Here is a 19,925-nt window from a genome sequence, read left to right on the forward strand (position 1 = left end):
GTGTGAATTCTTAAGCTTGTTTTACAAAACTTTTTATTCATCAGAGCTGTAGTGAAATATCATCATTGTAATTGATATTCTAGCACTACAAAAGGCACAATGAAGCTTATTTAGTTCCAGTACTGGAAATCAGAGGTAACAGCACATCCTTCCTTGGACATGCTTTACTCTGCTGTAGTGGTCATCACAGTTTTGATTTTCTGGATAAGAAGTTCACCACAGCATTTGTGCATTCATCTGATAGCCATCTTCCCTGAAGGACATTGCATTCTTCAGCATTAACAGCGTGTAGTTTTTCTCTCTCTCTTTTCCTGATTACCTCTTTTGAAATTCTCAAGGCCTGGAAAAACAAAACCAACAATAAGGTTAAGAGTTGACCTAGGCTGGACGTGGACTCATGCCTGTAATCCCAGCACTTGGGGAGGCCGAGGCGGGCAGATCAGTTGAGGTCAGGAGTTCAAGACCAGCCTGGCCAACATGGTGAAACCCCATCTCTACTAAAAATACAAAAATTAGCTGGTTGTGGTGGTACATGCCTGTGATCCCAGCTACTCAGGAGGCTGAGTCAAGAGAATTGCTTGAACCCGGGAGGCGGAGGTTGCAGTGAGCTGAGATCGCACCATTGCACTCCAGCCTGGGTGACAAGTGAGACTCTGTCTCAAAAAGAAAAAAAGAGTTAATCTAATAGGAGTGAGATTATTCTATGATTCTGGTTCTTGTTTCTCCCATGTTCATTTAATAAATCCTGTTAAATCTTTTTTTTTTTTCTGAGACATAGTCTCACTCTGTCGCCCAGGCTGGAGTGCAGTGGTGCAATCTTGGCTCATTGCAACCTCTGCCTCCCGGGTTCAAGCAATTCTCCCTGCCTCAGCATCCAGAGTAGCTGGGATTACAGGCGCCCACCACCACGCCTGGCTAATTTTTGTATTTTTTAAATAGAGATGTGGTTTTGCCATGTTGGCCAGGCTGTTCTTGAACTCCTGACCTCAGGTGATCTGCCCTTCTTGGCCTCCCAAAGTACTGAGACTACAGGTGTGAGCCACTGTTCTCGGCCCTAATGCTGTTAAATCTTAAGCTGCATGTGTAATATAAGACAGTGCTTCTCAAAATTCAGTGTGCATATAAATCGCTTCAGTAGGTGTGGGGCAGGCCTGTGATAATACATTTCCAAAAAGCCTCAGGTAGCTGCTCAAGCTTCTGGCTCCAGGACTACATTTTGAATAGCAAGAATATAAAAGCAATCAGTCACTCACTACCACATACAAAAACAAAAGTGCTATACAATAAGACTCTCAAAGTAGCTAATCCATGCTTCTCACCTGGATTCCAAAGTAAAAGTGCTCAGCAAATACTGCCTAGCATCCTGCTCAAGTAATCCCCATACAGAATTGCCCTCTGTCCCCACACAGAAATGGAAGGTCTATTTGATAAGTTTTGTAAAAATCAGTACTGCATTTCCAACATTACTACAGTTATTTTTTAATTCCAAATTTAGATGTGCTTAGAGGTAACTAAAGATGTGTCTTGTGCTTTTTATGACTTATTCTCTGAAGGCAAATAAATTTTTCCCTTAGGAAATCATTTTCAAGGTTCTTAGAAGTAAAAGATGAATACTAACATTTGGGGGAAGCTTTGCAAATGCCTTCAGCCTGGTCCAGACTTCTTTCTGAAAAGTGCTATCAGGGAAAACTTCAGTAACAAGTCCTTGAGCACATGCCTCTCCCGCTGTTAACTTCTTTCCAAAAATAAGCATCTCTGTTGCCTGAAATGAAAAGCAAGAAGCAAGGTTAAGATACTAACTTAATAAAACAAGGCTTCAGTTAACTGCTTTCAGGAGGCTTAGAGAGATGTACTCATGGTCTTTTGAGGTTGCTGGTATTTCTCAGTAAGGGAGAAGCTGATGACCTCAATAGGCAACGGTTTGCAAACTGTGTGCTGAGACAGGCTCCTGGGAAGGTCTATAAGGGCTGCTGCTTCTGTGTATCGTTGTTGGAGGGGCAAGATCAGGGGGTCCAGGGCAGAAATGATCTGAAGCAGATGCTTGATTCTATAACCCACAGCAGCTATGATTTTCCATTTGATACACTATAAACTATTATTTTACAGAGGAAAAAAGGAGAGAAAAATTACGGTCATTGGGTCAACCTTTAGAAACTTTCAAAATTCCATTCTCTGGAAACTACCCAGTGATCTGGCTCTGAGAGTTTTCTTTACCTGCATTGGTACTCAAATTAGTTCTATTTGACTAAAGGAAAGCAAAGACTTATAGTTAGCTTCCGAAAAAACTGAGGACATTAAGTGGATATCCTCTCTCCATTTGCAATTTCTTTTCCAGAAAAGGAATGCTCTTCTTTTTTTTGAGACAGAGTCTCACTGTGCTGCCCAGGCTGGAGTGCAGAGGCACGATCTTGGCTCACTGTAACCTCCACCTCCTGGGTTCAAATGATTCTCCTGCCTCAGCCTCTTGAGTAGCTGGGATTACAGGTGCCCGCCACCATGCCCCGGCTAATTTTTGTATTTTTAGTAGAGACAGCATTTCACTATGTTGGCCCGGCTGGTCTTGAACTCCTGATCTCAAGTGATCCACCAGCCTTGGCCTCCCAAAGTGCTGGGATTACAGGTGTGAGCCACTGCACCCAGCCAAGGAATGCTCTAATAGCCAAATGCTCTAAGACTTGTAGAGTCAGTTCTGCCCCCTTCCCAAGTTCAATTCAGGGTATGTGATAGCCTAATGAGAGTAAAAACATACATATATAAGTTTTTAACAAAATCCTAATAGGCAATGAAAACAAGCTCAATTCCCACTGCCCCACTTTGAGATCTTGCAGCAATATTTGCTAAGCCTTTTCCTATAGCTCAGCTTCTGGTCTTGTCACAATCCCCTTCGAGTCATGCCACAGGGCGTGGGCAACTAGGAAACACAGTGAAAGACCTGAGCAGCCACTTAACCAGCCTGGGAGAGAATACACCCGTGAGCAGGCTGATGGAAGGGCTGCTGTGATTGGGGGTGGCTCTGGCAGCCGTGAGCCCCCACAAAACCTCCCATCTGTTGGTACTTACTGTAACTCTGAAAGTGAAGACGTCATCATGTCTCTCCTTAGGAGATACTGGTCATCCATAAAGGAACCGAGTGGCCTCCAAACTCAGGGGACCAAGGGAGGCTGGCACAGCCCTGGTCCTTCAAGTGACTAATGCCACACAGCTGCAAGGCTGAGGTGCTGTGCTGCTTGCAGTGCAGCTAGCACTAAGCAGCCAGCTGAAGAGGAGGATCCCAGTTCTGGGAACTGCAGAGAGAATTTCTAATTTTCCTGCATAGCAGATACTTCCCATAGCCTGATTCCTCCATTGGTAAAACTCTTAAAGAGTTGAAAAGCAAATCATTAGCTTCTCTTTTGTCCATATTACCAAGGGAAAGAAGGGAGAGTATATGAGATTACTCTTCCTTCTTTCTTGAGATGACTCATAAAATTTTATATTTAAACATTCCAAAAGTTACCTTGGCTGGGCTCATTATCTTCGGAAAAGTGTAAGAGGAGCATCCTTCCGGACTTTGGCCTAGGTGACTAAATGGTGTATGAAATGTTGCCTGCAGAGGCAGGAGAGAAAAGAAAACCATCTTTTCATGTGTGATTTTTTTTTTTTTTTTTGAGACAAAGGGTTTCGCTCTTTTGCCCAGGCTGCAGTGAAGTGGCGCGATCTCGGCTCACTGCAACCTCCACCCCTTGGGTTCAAGCGATTCTCCTGCCTCAGCCTCCACAGCAGCTACGATTACAGGCATGCGCTGCCATGCCTGGCTAATTTTTGTATTTTTCGTAGAGACGGGGTTTCGCCCTGTTGGCCAGGTTGGTTTCAAACTTCTTACCTCAGGTGATCCACCTGCCTCGGCCTCCCAAAGTGCTAGGATCACAGGCGTGAGCCACCATGCCTGGCTTCATGTGTTATTTTTAAAAATCACGATTTGCTTATAACTTCACAATACTTAATAATATTTATTTAAAAATTAAGATTATGTGGTTAATATGCACACACAATTCACCCTTTAAAAGTGTATAGTTGGATGAGTTTGAACAAATAGAGAGTTACATAGCCACCACCACTACTGACATGCGGAACATTTCAGCCACCCTGAAAGGTTCCGGGGGCCCTTCTGTAGTCAGTCCCTCCCTCCCACCCCCAAGCAACTGCTAATCTGTTTTCTGTCCCTACAGTTTTGACTTTTATAGAATGCTGTATAAGTGGAATCCTACATTCTGTAGCATTTTGAGTCTGACTTCTGAGAGTCACCATGCTGTTGTATGTATTAGTAGTTTGTTCCTCGCTATTTCTGAGTAGTATTCCTTTGTATGGATGCACAATAATATGTTTATCATTCACCAGTTAATGCCATTGGTGTTGTTTCTAGCATTCAAATGGTTGTACCATTTGACACTGCCACTAGCAACGTATGAAAGGCTACTATGAAGAAGGCTGCTATGAAAAACAAGTTGAACACCTTAAATATATCTAGTCGTGTGTTGCTTAACAATGGGGATATGTTCTGAGAAATGCATAATTAGGCAATTTTGTCATTGTGCCAATATCATGGAGTATACTTACATATACTTGGATGCCACAGCCTACTGCACACCTAGCTATGTGGTAATCCCTACTGCTTCCAGGCTACCAACTTGGACAGCATGTTACTATACTTAATACTCTAGGCAGTTATAACAAATGGCATTTGTGTATCTAAATATATCAAACATAGAAAAGGTAGGCCGGGTGTGGTGGCTCATGCCTGTAATCCCAACACTTTGGGAGGCAGAGGTGGGCAAATCACCTGAGGTCAGCAGTTCGAGACCAGCCTGGCCAACGTAGTGAAACCCCATCTCTACTAAAAATACAAAAATTAGCCTGGTGTGGTGGTGTGCACCTGGAGTCCCAGCTACTCGGGAGGCTGAGGCACAAGAATTGCTTGAACCCGGGAGGAGGAGGCTGCAGTGAGCCGAGATCATGCCACTGTACTCCAGCCTGGATGACAGAGTGAAAAAAAAAAAAGAAAAGGTATAGTAAGATATGGTGTTATAATCTTAGGAGACCAGCGTTTTACATGCAGTCTGCCATTGACTAAAATGTTGTTATGCAGCACCTGACTGTACAATTCTTATTTGTCAAGTATACCTCAATGAAACTGAAAAAAAATTTAAAAATAAAAATGTTCAGATAATGTTAACAAAAAGGCAGTTAGGAACACTTGTGTACAGGTCACTGGGTGAATCTCTTTTAAATTATCATAGGTAAATACCTAAGTGGTATGGCTGGTCTGTGTGGTAAATGTATATTTAGCTCAGAAGCTGCTAGACTGTTTTCTAGAGTGGTTGTACCATTTGACATTCCCACCAGCAATGTATGAAAGTTCCAATTGCTCCACATCCTCACTAAACCTAGCTATTAAGTCTTTTTCATTTTAACCATGCTAGTATGTATGTAGTGGGGTCTCACTGTGGTTTTAATTTACATGTCCCTAACCATTAATGGTATTAAGTCTCTTACCATGTACTTATTAGACATACGTATATTTTCTTTGGTGAAGCAACTGTTAAGATATTTTCTCCACTATTTTTTTAAGTTAGGCTGTTTACCTTCCTATTATATAGTTGTAAGATACACATTCAGATTGCAAGTCTTTTATTAGAGCGTCAGGCAAATCTTTTCTCCTGGTCTATGGCTTATCTTTTCATTTTCTCAGTGGTTTCTCTCATATGGTTTTAATAGCCCTTTATATTTCATTTTGTCTGACCTATTCATTCCTCACCATTGCCCATTTTTATTTTAGCTTGTGGATCTATCGCTTTATAGACAAACTTTAAAAAGTATCGTGGAGAGATCAGCTTTTGTTACATGAGTTGAAAAATTGTTTCCTCAATCTGTCATTTGTCTTGATTTTGCCCCAGTGGTTTTTTTGGTTGGCTTTAACTACTGGAATTAATTCAATATTGGTTATTTAGTATATAGTCATTTTTAGTTTTTTTTTTTTTTACATTTAAGACATATTTTTGTGTTTCTTAATGAATAAATTATGAAAGAATGTTAATTTAAAATTCATAATATGTAAAAGAATATTTAGATTTCATTTCCTATAATCAGACACGCTGTTGTTTTTACTATATAACTGTTAGAAGATATAAATCTATAACATATGCAGCATATACATAAAAATAATCACAATATTTTTAAAAGTTTCTGTTAATGTCATGTATCTTCTTTTTTTATCCAAAAGAAAACTTATTCAAAAAAATGTACCCAGAAGACACAGCCTAAGGAATACAAGCAGGAAACTGAGAAACCTGCCAACAACAGCTAAAGGGACACAAACAGGTACATGCAAAGTTGCCAGTAAGCAGCATTTAAAATGCTGATTTTCAGAAAGAGAGCAGCAGGTGGAGTTAAGGGTTTAGGCTCTGGCGTCAGACTACTTAGGGACGTTGGGAAAGTTTCTTACCCTCTCTGTACCACAGTTTTCTCATTTGTAAAATGGGAACCAATCCTTCTTTGCTTTTTTTTTTTTTTGAGACGGAGTCTTGCTCGGTTGCCCAGCCTTGAGTGCAGTGGCGCAATCTCAACTCGCTGCAACCTCCGCCTCCCGGGTTCAAGCGATTCTCCTGCCTCAGCCTCCCGAGCAGTTGGGATTATAGGCGTGCACCACCACACCCAGCTCATTTTTGTATTTTTAGTAGAGACGGGGCTTCACCATGTTGGCCAGGCTGGTCTCGAATTCCTGACCTCAAGTGATCCACCTGCCTTGGCCTCCCAAAGTGCTAAGATTACAGGCATGAGCCACCATGCCCAGCCTAGATTGTAAAACTTATTTTTGCCACATTGGAGGAGAATGTTTGTTTTTATAGACAGGGTCTCACTCTGTTGCCCAGCCTTACTCTTGCCTCAGCCTACCAAGTAGCTGGGACTACAGGCGCCTGCCACCACACCTGGCTAATTTTTGTATTTTTAGTAGAGAAGGGGTTTCACCACATTGGCCAGGCTGGTCTTGAACTCCCGACCTCAGGTGATCCACTTGCCCTGGCCTCCCAAAGTGCCAGGATTAGAGGCGTGAGCCACTGTGCCTGGCCAAGTCCTTCTTTCATCGGGCTACTCTGTACATTACGTGAATATGTGTGTGTGTATGCGTATATTTATAATATACATAATGCATGTGAATAGAGTGCCTAAACAGTGACCACTCAAAGATTTATTATTGTTATGATTTCTACCTTTTTCTTAACTCATACAGGAAATGTATCATTTGCTGACAGAGCTAATAGGCATTATTAACCATTGCCCACAGTATAAAATAGATTAAATGTACTGATTAATATTTTGGTTATATGGGTTAAATATTAACCCATCATTTAATATGATATTTATTCTTGAAGCCAATAATGGTAAATCTTATAAAACAATTTTTTCTACAGCCTTTTCCTTTAGCATATTTCCTTTATTTTATTTATTTTTTACTTATATATTTTTTTGAGACAGAGTCTCGCTCTGTCACCTAGGCTGGAGTGCAGTGGTACGATCTCGGCTCACTGCAACCTCTACCTCCTGGGTTCAAGCAATTCTCCTGCCTCAGCCTCCAATGTAGCTGGGATTACAGACACCCGCCACCAAGCCCGGCTAATTTTTATATTTTTAGTAGAGATGGTGTTTCACCATGTTGGCCAGGCTGGTCTTGAACTCCTGACCTCAGGTGATCTGCCCACCTCAATTTCCTTTATTTTAAATGATGCTTGATTTGTTTGGTTGGGTAAACTTTTATCAGAAGACACTATTTGACAAATAAATTTTACTTTTGGCCAAATTTTTTAGCATTTAATATATATATGCAATATACATATATTATAATATATATAGAATAGATATGTTTTATATGTATTATGTATATATGTTTTCTGATTTCAACATTTATTACAATTTATATCATAAGATGGAAGTCATCAACATTTTTAAAAGGTTGATGCAGGCCAGGCTCAGTGGCTCACACCTGTACTCCCAGCACTTCAGGAGGCCAACGCAGGCGAATCACTTGAGGTCAGGAGTTCGAGACCAGCCTGGCCGACACAGTGAAACCCTGTCTCTACTAAAAATACAAAAAAATTAGCTCGATGTGGTGGCACGCACCTGTACTACTCAGGAGGCTGAGTGGGAGAATCGCTTGAACCCGGGAGGTGGTGGCTGCAGTGAGCCAAGATCGTGCCACTGCATTCCAGCTTGGGTGACAGAGTGAGACTCCCATCTCTTAAAAAAAAAAAAATAAGGATGATGTATATTGAAAGTAATTTTCAATTCAGTGGGAGAATCAGAACAAGATTCAAATACAATATTTGCCCTCCAAGTATTAAAGAATGAGATCCCCAATTTTAGGTCAGGAACCATTGACCCAGTCCCTGTTAAAAGCAGGTCAATGACTAATCAGTCATCTAATACACAGACTGTGAACAAAGACATTGATTTCTGCCTTTGAACAGAAACCTCTACCTACAAAGGCTGGGCAGCCTGGCACCTAGAATCTCATTTGCTAATTTTGTGGGAAAATTATTCATAAGAATTAGGTCTGTCAATACATCCAATCTGGTTCAATGGAATCCAGCAAAAGAAAATTCGAAGAATTAAGGATGCTATTATATGGTCCTGTCTATCAGTGGGGAAAATACCTCTGAACAAAACTAGAAATCTCTTCAGTGGTAAAAACCATATGCTCCCTAGAAGGCTGCAATCATCAGCACAGTTTACCATCACATAAGCATAAGTCACTGGACAATCTGATACCCTAAAGGTGGTTATTAGGTGCTTGTAATGATAAAAATTGGAAACAGCCTAGGGTTCCAGCAGTCAGGGACTGGTTAAACAAGATAAGTTAATAACCCAAACGTTAGGACTGGTTATCTCTAGGTGGCAAGATAAGGAGTGATTTTTACCTTGTAGCTTTTCTTGGTACTTTTTCATATCTTTCAAAATTTTATTTTCCACTATGACATATATATTACTACTGTAGTAAAAATAAAAACTAAAATCTGTATAATGCAATGGTGAACACAAGGCTGAATTGTGTTCTGGGCAAGGAACTTCTCAGAGCTTCAGTTTTCTTATCTGCAAAGGAGGGAGTGACAGTAGATAATGCTCACAGGTCCTTCTCCTTCTAAAATTCTAAATCCATTTACTCAGTAAAAAGGATCAACTAATCCCTTGCACAACCTGCAAAGATGCTATTCCTCCCTCCCATAACAAATTTTCAAGTGTCTCCTGAATCTTTCAGAATAACATGAAAGCTGTATACCTATTGTGGAATTTGATTAGAATCCGGAACAGTCAGAGTTGGAACAATGTTCACAACAAAATGCAAGTTAATAATGAAGGAAAAATAAAATCAGTCAAATCAGCCTAATGCTTTGGGAAAAATCTAAATTCAGTTAATTCTACCACAAACAACATGTAACCTGCTTATGACTGGCAACGCTGAAGGAGGATTCAAAGGCTCTCATCTCGCGCTGCTTGCCTGACCTCTTGCTTTCTAGGAGCTGACTTACCCTGTCAGATGCATACACGGCATCGAATAGCCCAAGGAGGGTGACGGAGATGCCCACAGCTGGACCATTGACCACTGCAATCAGAGGCTTAGGAAAATCTATAAAACAGCCCACAAATTCCCTACAGAAATGGAAACACAAAATCATTAAATGTGCCAAAGCAGCATGACTAAAGCATGGGCAAGACAGTCTGACTCTGAGATAAAGCCTTCTGTCAGGCTGGGTGTTTCCACAGCCACCACCAGCAGTGCCTCCTTGTCCTGCCACTTCCCTGGTCTTCCGCACCAGATTCATCCAGGGCATCCGTCTGAATGGCAGTGGATGGAAGACCAACCAGTGAGACCTATGGGTCAACCCTGGTTTGAATCTTGTATTCTGGACAGTGAGTTCAGGGCTGTAAACCAGCCGCAGTCTTAGAGATTAGGTTGGGTGACTGAGCACATGCTGCAATATCACAACAAGTGGGAATTACAGATTTGGCAGGAATAAAGAGAAAAGCCTTCATGACCTCCTCCTGTGTTTACAAGACTCCTCCGAGTCTCCTACCTTCAGCGTTCATGGAAATCTCCCATTCCTCTGGCTGGATGAGAATTTGCTAAATTCCTCTGCCTCAGTGCAAGATAATTTTGTTTACAACTATAGCTCACTTTTATGTTTTCCAGTCAAATCTCATGAGACCAGCAGGATGAACAGGTAACAGAGGTCAAAGAGAAAGAATGAATGCCCACCTATGGATGGAGGCAGTTTAGAGAAATATGCTTGTCCAAAGTCACAATTAACTGCACTGACACAGAGAAGCAGATATTGCACTTTTGCTCAACTAAATACCACTTTGATGACTAAGAACGGGCCCTCTGGGATCAGACAAAGGTCAGTAACTCTTACCTCAGTAAAACGGCATTATTTTTAGCTTTCTCCTCTACTCCACCAGGGGGAATATCAGTGAAGTTAGTCAGATCATTCCCACTACTGTAATAGTCACCATTTCCTATAAGTAAGAAAATCAACAGATCCCTCATTCAATCATCCTATAATTCTTGAGTATCTACTGCATGCCAAACTCTATGGTTAGGCAAGGGAAATACATTGGAGAACGAGCAATGGTTCCTGCCCTAACTTACAAACTAGTGAGTACGCTGGACACTGATCTATAAAAACACACCGATAAATGTAGCTAATGCTACTGTTGAAATAGAGGAGTGGTGCGTCATGAAATGAGGGTATGTACCAGGAGGGTTGGTCTAATCAGGGAGTTCAGGAAAGAACTTTCCTAAGGAAGCGACAACTGAATTGAGATCTGAAGGAGAGGCCAGGTGGGCTAGAAAAAGAGGGCTGGGAAGAACAGTTTACACAAAGGAACAGCCTGTGCAAAGGCTCTTTGGAGAGGTTATCCCCACTGTAGATGAAGTAAGAGCCACTGTAGCTGACTCAGGGAAAGCCAGGGGGAAGTCGGTGCAGGATGAGGACTGGCAGAATAGACCTGACAGTGCTTTGTAGATCCCATGAGGAAGTTTTTTCTTTATTCTAAGAGCCACTGAAAGTATGTTTCTGAGTGTGTGTGTTTAATTAAAGTACAATTTATATACAATAAAACAACCAGTTTTTAAATGTTCATTTAGATGAGTTTTAATAATTTTAAATACCCACAAGATCACCATCCAAAACAAGATACAGAACATCTCCATCACCCCAAAAGTTTCCCGTAGGCTCCTTCCTAGCTATCCCACCCCACCTGCTCCAAGGCAATCACTTTCTGACTTCAATTTCCACAGAGAAGAACTTTTGTCTACTGTAGAACTTTCTACAAATGGACTCATACAGTATGTACACTCCTGTCTTTATTTTGCTGAACTGTGTTTTAAAGATGCATCCACATTCTTGTGTATATCATTTATTCCATTTTATAGCTGAGTATTCCATTGTACAAATAGTCAACAATTTGTTTATTCATCCATGTGTTTTTGAACATTTGTTTTCTGGTTTTGGCCGTTATAAATCAGGTTACCATGTCTGCTCCTGTAAAAGTCTTTTGGTGGACATATGTGTCTTAATTGATGTTGGGTAATTGCGAAGGAGTGGGTATCTGTGTTTTTTTAAACATTTTTTGTATATTTATAAATCAGAGTATGACAGTACTGGAAAAGATCTTAGAGCCTTTTTTTTTTTTTTTTTTTTTTTTTTTTGAGACAGAGTCTCACTCTGTTACCCAAGCTGGAGTGCAGTGGCGCGACCTCGGGTCACTGCAAACTTTGCCTTCCAGGTTCAAGTGATTCTCCTGCCTCAGCCTCCTGAGTAGCTGGGATTACAGGTGTGTGCCACCATGCCCGGCTAATTTTTATATTTTTAGCAGAGATGGGGTTTCACCATGTTAATCAGGCTCATCTCAAACTCCTGACCTCGGGAGCCACCTGCCTCGGCCTCCAGGTCTTAGAGCTTTTTAACTCAATTTCCTATCTATTAAGAGGCCCCTCAAAATAGAAATTTAATTAGGATGCCTGAGAAAATGTCTTACCTGTTAAAACAGTGATGATTGAGTCATCCTTGCTGGCAGCTTTAAGTGCACGCATAATTTCATGATACATCTGTGTAATGGGAAGACAAGGAAAAGAAAAGAACTCTGAACACAGGAATCATCAATCAATGGACTCAACAAATGTCAGGCTGCAAGCTTGCTCTCAGCAAAGTGCCTAACATTTATTTTGGTTGTATTTTATAACCAAAAAGGTGGACCAACATAACTGAAGGAATTTTTATTCCTTTCACAGTTACCTGGTGCATATTATGTACCTGGTGCTATGGCAGGAGCTGCAGGCTATAAACCACTTTTTTTCCAAAAGGGACCAAGAAAGAAATAGTCCTTGAGCTTTTGGAATTAACAGAGGACTTAACATGTTCAATTTGGAATTAACATGTTCAAATGAGGAGGGGGTTGGAAAGTACAAAGTAGCAGGGAACTCAGAGGAGGTGCTGAGGCTTATCTAGTGTGGGCAGAGTGGGAGGTGGTCAGAGAAAACTTTCTACAAAGCAACGTCTCTGTTGTGACCTCAAGGAAGCCCCTGGCAGTCTGGGAAGTGTTAGTGACTGCCAAAAGGCTGGAATTTTCAAGACACTGTAATGGTATTCAAGGAAGGTGGCTCAAAATTTTAAATCAGCAACATTTCTGAAAATCTTGGACAAGCAGCTATATAGCTTTTAATGCATTTAAAACAGGTGCAATTTCAACCTTAGATGAGATTTCAGTGTGGGAAAGAAATGAGGAAGAGGGCTGATACTTATAGATACAAATATACTGGAAAAGACACATGGACTTTACATAAAACAGCCTGCCCTCCGTATCCACGGGTTCCACATCCATGGACAACCAATCACAGATCAAAAATACCTGGAAAAGAATTCTGTATCTATACTGAACATGTACAGGCTTTTTCTCTTATCATTAGTCCCTAAACAATACAGTATAACAACAATTTAATATAGCATTTACATTGTATTCAGTATTATAATAACTCTAGAGATGATTTAAAGTATATGGGAGTGTATATAGAGGTTATATGCAAATATTATGCCTTTTTATGGGGGACTTCAGGTTCCGCGGATTTTGTTGTCCACACGGAGGTCCTGGAACCAATCCCCATCGGATACCAAGGGATGACTGTACATGAATAAGCGTTTAAGCATTTCTCCTGAGGGAAGTGATAAGGAACTCATTCTATCATTATTATAGTTATGATAACACCACACAGCAGGGCGACTGGTGAGACCAGGATTAGGAGATGGATTATCAGGGTTCCTTCCTTCCAACTGGTGAGACCAGGATTAAGAGATGGATTATCAGGGTTTCTCCCTCCCTCCCTCCCTTCCTCCCTTCCTTCCTTCCTTCTTTTTTGAGATGGAGTCTCATTGCGAGGCCCAGGCTAGAGTGCAATAGCATGATCTTGGCTCAACCTCCACCTCCCCGGTTCAAAAGATTCTCCTGCCCCAGCCTCCTGAGTAGCTGGGACTATAGGTGCGCACCACCATGCCCAGCTAATTTTTTGTATCTTTAGTAGAGATGGAGTTTCACCATGTTGGCCAGGCTGGTCTTGAACTCCTGACCTCAAGTGATCTGCCCACCTTGGCCTCCCAAAGTGCTGGGATTACAGGGGTGAGCCACCACGACTGGCTATCAGGGTTTCAATTTAGGTTTTGCTGCTTATTTGTTATGTGAACTTGAGTAAGTTACTTCTTAATCTAATTATTTTATTGTTAAGTAATGATAACAGTAGGCTCCCTGTGAGAATTAAATAAACTTCTGTGTGGAGAGTGCTGGCACTCATTAGACACTCTGTACAGAGTAGCTATTATTATTATAGTTGTAGAGAAATGAGTCAGGGGAAAGTGGAAATAAAGTTTGAGCATTAAATGCTTTATTAGTTGAATGACACATATCCTACTTCATGAAATTCTGAAGATGATTTTAAAGTGAGTATGCTCTTTCTGCCACAATGGAGGTTATTGACCCAATGGTCATAGTCCTCTGAAATTTTAGTCCCAGTTGAGCACCAAGCATCCAATTAATTCCCTATAATTTTTTTCAAGAAGAAGGGGCTAAGGTAGTTATTTTATTATCATTCTAGTTCAGTGAGAGATTCAAAGACTAACGTTACCGAGTGAAGCAGCTACTTTAAAGCGGAGCTGGGTGATAATTTGTTTAAGATGAAGTCCTTCTCTCCTTTCTCCCTATACTTATAAAAAATGAAGCCCCCGTGCAAGCAGAAAGACTTACTTTCATGTCTAAGTGACATGAAGATACTTCTGGGAGCAGTCTACACCAACCTTAGATGGCTTCTATGCAAATTCTCTCATAGCAACATGTTTCATTTATATTCATTTATTTCTGCTTCCATTATTAGGAAAATCACAGTGCCTTCTGGGTATATCAGAACCTACCTGAAATTCACAAACTCTAAACAATGAATGCTCAACTCTGTTGTATGAAGTAGCCACAATTACCAACCTTCCTGCACAAATCAAACAAGAGATATCTTAAAATAGGAATGATGCTGAAACTCTACAGCTTTTGTGTGAAACACATAGAAGAAGAAAGTAAAACAGGACAAACTCCGTGGGCAGGTAACATTACCTCAGTGTTTATGGCATTTTTCTTTTTGGGCCGGTTGAACATGATCTTTGTGATGCCATCTTCGGAGGTCACCACCAGAGTTTCAAACCCAGTTGATTTCCTGTCTGTTCCAGGCTCCACCTGACTAGAGGATTCCAATGAAGGACTCAAACTGGACACCAAATCCACATAGTTCTGCCTGGCAGCTTCCTGAACGGACGATGACAAACAACCTCAGCCCATGGTCAATGAATAAGCACTTTGAGAAAGTTACTATACTAATAACTAACACCTTGCAATGAAGAAAGAATAGAAGCACATCAAGATCTTGAAGACTCCATTTACAATGGCTTAATGAGAAGCACAAACTTCTTTAGAAGTACAGCAAATAAAAGCACAGTAACTAGTAAACTCACCTTGGGCAGGCTGCCAAGGGCATTCCATGCGTCCCATTTGGCCTTGTTGATCAAGTCAAATACACCTGGTTTGGGCATGTTACAAGGTCCTTCAGTGGCCTGTGAAAAGGAGAGGGGCAATATGTTCAAATGTCCATGTAAACTAGACCCCTAAATATTTAAGATCCATAAAATCTGTAAGTACATGAATGCCTCCCCCAAATCCTTTCACAGGGTATGTAAATTGATCTGAATTTTCCCCTCCAGTCTCTTTGATGTTGTTGCCAAAAATGCACAAACAGAAAAAAGACTGGAAATAAATTATAACTGCCTGTCTATGAAAATAATGCAGGATAAAGGTTTTGGGGAAGTATTTTCTAAAAAAATCTAATGGTTCATTAGTTTTATATTGGTAATCACATTTTCCACAAACAATCAAAATATTCAAGCAAACAATCTTTACAAGGAACTAGTCAACAAATACTTGAAAACCCACAGCATATTCCAAAAGCCCATCTGAAGGTACAAAAAAAAACACCACTAATTCAGTGGTGGACTTTTGGTACCTGGGTAACAAAACTGTAGCTGAGGGGCTAGGGTGGGGCTATCAGAGCTACTGGTTCTTAGGAAACCTAACTGAAGAACATGTAAGTAAAAAGCAAAAAGGAATTAAATTTTATTTTTGAGGCTAGGTGGAGTGGGTGTTTTGAGATGAATAAAATATCCCACTCAGCTACTTTTCAGAAATAGCAATTTAAAATTCCAGTTAAAATTTTTAAAATTTTATAATACAGTTAGAGAGGAAAGAAGAAAGAGTCTTTGAAAAACAAGCCAGGTGTGGTGGCTCACACCTGTAATCTCAGCACTTTGGGAGGCTGAGGTGGGTGGATCACCTGAGGTCAGGAGTTCGAGACCAGCCTGACCAATATGGTAAAACCCCATCTCTACTAAAAATACAAAAATTAGCCAGGCATGGTGGCAGGTTCCTGTAATTCCAGCTGCTTGGGAGGCTGAGGCAGAAGGATTGCCTGAACCTGGGAGGCAGAGGTTGCAGTGAGCTGAGATGGTGCCGCTGCACTCTACCCTGCGTGACAGAGCAAAACTCTGTCTCAAAAAAACAAAATAAAAACAAAAGAAAAAAGAAAAAAGAAAAAGGCAGTAAAGGAGGTTATGAATTTCTTTAGACAGAGATAGTGTCATCTGGCAAGAGTTGGCCAACCTAGAAGTTAGAGGGAACACAGTCCACAGGATAAGGGCTTGCCTTTGTCTCCTGACTGTCCTCAATGCTAACACCAATTGCAAGGCTGGAGGGCACCCAGGACCACCCTCAAGTGCAACAATTTGCTAGAAAGACACCCAGAACTCACTGCAAGCTGTTAAACGCACAATTAATAGTTTATTAAGGGAAAGGATAGAGATTAGAATCATCCAAGGGAGGACACACACAGGATGGAGTCTGGGGCAGTAGCAAATGTGGAGTTTCCATTGTCCTTTCCCCATGGAGTCAGCATAGGGCACCTCTACCAGAATTGATGTGACAGTACACAGGGAGTCCTGCCAACCAGAGATGCTCAGCTCATCCAGTCTCGGTGTCCAGAGTTTTTAACAGGGCTCCATCACCTGTGCATGACTGTATAACCTGAAGCCCCCACCCTAAATCACATCGTTAAGACAATCCAGGCAAATAAAGACTCCTACCAGTCATTAGAGATTCACTTCCCAGAAGCTGAGGGCAAAGCCACACCTCTTCTGGGGCAAGGTTAAATTTTTTACTATACACACCCATATGAAAGAGAAGCTCATACCCATCATAGGACAGAAAAATAGATAACACAGGAGCCCAGAGAGGCAGACATGCCAGGGAAGTCTTTGGCATTGAAACTTAAGAGCTTTAGTTTTTAAATTTTGTTATAAAAATTTCCAAACATACCAAAGTAGAATACTATAATGAATTCCCAATACCCATCATCCAGGTTCAACAATTATCAAACTGCCTTACTTGCTTCATCTCTCTCTCTCTTTATTTTCTTTCGTTTTTGGACAGAGTCTCGCTCTGTCACTCAGGCTGGAGTGCAGTGGCGCAATCTTGGCTCATTGCAACCTGCACCTCACAGGTTCAAACGATTCTCCTGCCTCAGCTTCCCAAGTAGCTGGGATTACAGGTGTGCGCCACCAGTCCAGCTCATTTTTGAGTTTTTAGTAGAGATGAGGTTTCACCATGTTGGCCAGGCTGGTCTCAAACTCCTGACCTTAAGGGATCTGCCCGCCTCAGCCTCCCAAAGTGCTGGGATTACAGGCGTGAGCCACCATGCCTGGCCTCATCTATCCTTTTCTTTTTGTGCTTAGAGAACTTCAACTATCCATGCTATTTCACCCCTATATCCTTAGTACACTTTTCTTAAAAATATCAACATTTTCTTATATAACCTTGACACCATTAACGATGATTTCTAGGTATCTTCTAACACTCTGTCCTTACTCAAAACTTCCCCAATTGTCTTAAAAATACCTTTTTCAGTTGATTTATTCTAATCAAGAGCTAAGTAAGGTCTACAAATGTGAATATTATATCTCGTAAGTCTCTTTTACTCGTGTGACACTGAGGCACTTTGTGCCTTAATAGTATTTCAAGGTCTAATATAAAAAACTGGCATATATATATATACACACACACACTCTTCAGAGAAGAGGGAGCAAGACAAACCAAAATGTTAAGGCCACATTTTAGTAAACACACAGTGTATTTATTTAAGAAGTCATTTGCCCAAAATTCTTTAAATAACGTTCGACCGTAGGCATTTACCTGCTTATATAGCGCGTAGAGTTTTAGCTTCACTTCGTTTCCTGGATCCTTTTTCAAGAGTTTCACTTGATTCATTGAATTTTCAAAGTCCTTCTGACTGGCTCTCATTGCTGTTCTATTCATGTGCAGCTGAACTACCGGGAAACTAGTGACCTGCAGAGAACTACAATTAGGCAGACTGATTTCTATTTGTTCCCAACCCTCACATTTCTGCAGCCTGATTTCTAATTGTTCCCAGCCTATACATAACAAAATGCCATGTTTGTCTATAGATATTTTCTTTATACTTGCCTCAGCAAACTGGCTGCAAATAATTGGCTGTAAGGATTCCAAGATAATAAGTCAATACAGAAGCTAACAGTAGTAACTTTAAATAAAAGGAAAAGTAACCATCCAGGGAGGTATCTGTAAGCAACTAAAGATAAAAGCAGCCAGAACAGGAATGACCATGTAAATTTTGCCAAAGGCAAGAAGTGAAGTGCATGCAAGACAGTGGACAGCAGGAAACCAAAAGGCTAAAGTGCACAGAATTTAGTGAAGTGTCCCAAAGTCCTGAAACAGCCTCTGCACTCACTGATAAGCCATAAGCTATATCAGGTCAATTCTTGCCTCTTTGCTGGCGAAGCTGGTGTTCCAACATACACACAGGTGGAAGGAGGGGAGAATGGATGTGAACATACAAGAAATATTCAAAAGAACACACGAGCAGTTGCTGGCATTCCAGATAGAGCCACAGCCTTCTCAGCAGATGGGAGGGAATCTACCTGCAGTGGAAGGGAGTCAGTGAAGGGGGCTCAGCAGGCGTGCCCCTTTCTATGGGTATGTTTAACCAGCCAGCCAGGAACAGAGCAGAAACAGCAACCACCGCGGGGGTGATCAGCACGTTTTTAAGCACACATAGTGAGCGGGGGTGGGGTGGCAAACTTGAATGCACAGGACTCAGGCCACAAGCTAAAAATGGAGTTCACGACGATGACACTGAATAATAGAGTTAATGGCAAAAAAGATGATTAAAATAATACAGGTTACAAAGCCCAAACCTAACACACAAACACAATTATGTAACTCGAAAATGGTGCAATGAACTCTAGGTTCAAACTTTGGACTATTAGTAACTGATTCAGTAAGATCAGCCTAGAGTAAGTTTTACATTAAAATGATTTTCTGTAAAGGGAAAAACTGCATCTTATATGGCAAATTCCACGTAGAAAACGAAAGAAAAATTTAAAATATCCACAGAAAGCCGAAATGTACAAGTTTCCACAAAATGTGGAACAAATTTATTTTTAAATAAAGCGTGAGTTTTAAAAACAAATAGCAAAAACACGACCATTTAAGAAAATACATAAAGTCGGGAAAATCACTCATAATTCTACCACTTCAAGGCCACCACCGTGTTTCGGTTTTGTTCCCTATGCACAGATTCGTGCGGGTTCCCGGGACCCCAGGGAGGTGCAGCGTGCTTCTTAGCCGTTACTCTGTACCCGGCCATTTCACTTTATAGCATACGTGTTCTCCAAGAAGCAGAGTGTTAAGTCCACACGAGTGATAACGGCTTGCGTTTACCTCGCTTTTAGCAAGCGACGCTTTGCACCCCAGAAGCAGCCCGGCTGGGAAGTGCAGGCCCGGGTGCTCAGCTGGGGCGGCTCACCCGCCCGGAGTCCGGCCCCAGGAGGATGGGAGCGTGCGCGGAGGCAGGCGGAGACCTTGGGGACTGCTGACAGGGAACCATAGCCCTGACCTCCCGACGCGCCCATCCTGACCACTCCGGGCCCAGCGGTGCAGGAGGGCGCGCGTGAGGTCGTCACTTTTTAGCACTACCTCACCGGAAAACCAGCAAAGCAAAATCCTGTTGCCACCTAGACAATAGGGAAGGAGGGTCTTCCAACGGCGGCGACCTTCGCCTGGACAGCGGTATCCTGCGGGCGACCATGGGCCGAACGGCCGGGACTCCAAGCTTACCTCGGACACGAACGCCGCGCCAGTCTCCAAGCCAAGTACGCCATCGCCATCCCTTGGGCGGCTCTAGGGCTGCGGGGGCTCGGGGGTGGGGCCGGGTCTCGGGG

At 41.7% G+C, this 19,925-nt stretch overlaps 1 protein-coding gene and 1 pseudogene across 8 annotated transcripts in view, besides 1 other annotated feature; one reads left to right on the plus strand and one right to left on the minus strand.

The window, feature by feature from the left end:
* Window positions 1-15,076, plus strand: part of TEX56P (testis expressed 56, pseudogene) — a 51,557-nt pseudogene extending 36,481 nt beyond the window's left edge. For 2 of the 4 annotated variants that reach the window (NR_172627.1, NR_172628.1), the window contains 3 exons: window positions 6,260-6,357; window positions 14,453-14,672; window positions 14,796-15,076. The product of NR_172627.1 is annotated as a testis expressed 56, pseudogene, transcript variant 1 (transcript). Of the gene's footprint in view, window positions 1-6,259; window positions 6,358-9,270; window positions 10,431-14,452; window positions 14,673-14,795 lie in introns of all 4 variants that reach the window. The other 2 variants (NR_104463.3, NR_104464.3) reach the window with 2 other exon arrangements.
* Window positions 17-19,886, minus strand: ECI2 (enoyl-CoA delta isomerase 2). Of its 4 annotated transcripts, NR_028588.2 has the most exons (11): window positions 19,822-19,886; window positions 17,860-18,012; window positions 15,078-15,176; window positions 14,683-14,871; window positions 14,490-14,560; window positions 12,073-12,142; window positions 10,446-10,548; window positions 9,561-9,681; window positions 3,497-3,586; window positions 1,619-1,762; window positions 17-340 (listed from the first exon to the last, which is right to left on the minus strand). NR_028588.2 is itself a non-coding variant. In NM_006117.3 (10 exons), exons 2-10 carry the CDS (start codon window positions 17,980-17,982, stop codon window positions 185-187), a joined length of 1,095 nt encoding a protein of 364 aa, NP_006108.2. In that variant the 5' UTR covers window positions 17,983-18,012; window positions 19,822-19,886; the 3' UTR covers window positions 17-184. The 4 variants fall into 4 exon arrangements, 3 of the variants coding, with proteins under 3 accessions (NP_006108.2, NP_996667.2, NP_001159482.1); NM_006117.3 differs by lacking the exon at window positions 14,490-14,560; NM_206836.3 differs by lacking the exon at window positions 14,490-14,560 and having other exon boundaries at window positions 17,860-18,022.
* Window positions 10,266-10,560: an enhancer, noted in NCBI's record as "tiled region #9692; HepG2 Activating DNase unmatched - State 25:Art, and K562 Activating DNase unmatched - State 14:Gen5'". NCBI's record gives its function as "activates a minimal TATA promoter and a strong SV40 promoter by Sharpr-MPRA in HepG2 cells, with weaker activity in K562 cells {active_cell/tissue: HepG2 | K562}" and the evidence as "EXISTENCE:reporter gene assay evidence [ECO:0000049][PMID:27701403]".

Source organism: Homo sapiens, chromosome 6 (assembly GCF_000001405.40).
Source record: "Homo sapiens chromosome 6, GRCh38.p14 Primary Assembly".
In the NCBI taxonomy this organism is placed as follows: Eukaryota; Metazoa; Chordata; class Mammalia; order Primates; family Hominidae; genus Homo; species Homo sapiens.

Bases quoted from the DNA above. Each gene is read 5' to 3' on its own strand.
- ECI2 (NM_206836.3), bottom strand. From the start codon at position 19,871: ATGGCGATGGCGTACTTGGCTTGGAGACTGGCGCGGCGTTCGTGTCCG. The intron at 14,872-15,077 runs GTGAGTTTACTA...TCGTCCGTTCAG, and splicing joins CCCTTGGCAGCCTGCCCAAG to GAAGCTGCCAGGCAGAACTA. The intron at 10,549-12,072 runs GTAAGACATTTT...TCTTACTTATAG, and splicing joins AATCATCACTGTTTTAACAG to GAAATGGTGACTATTACAGT.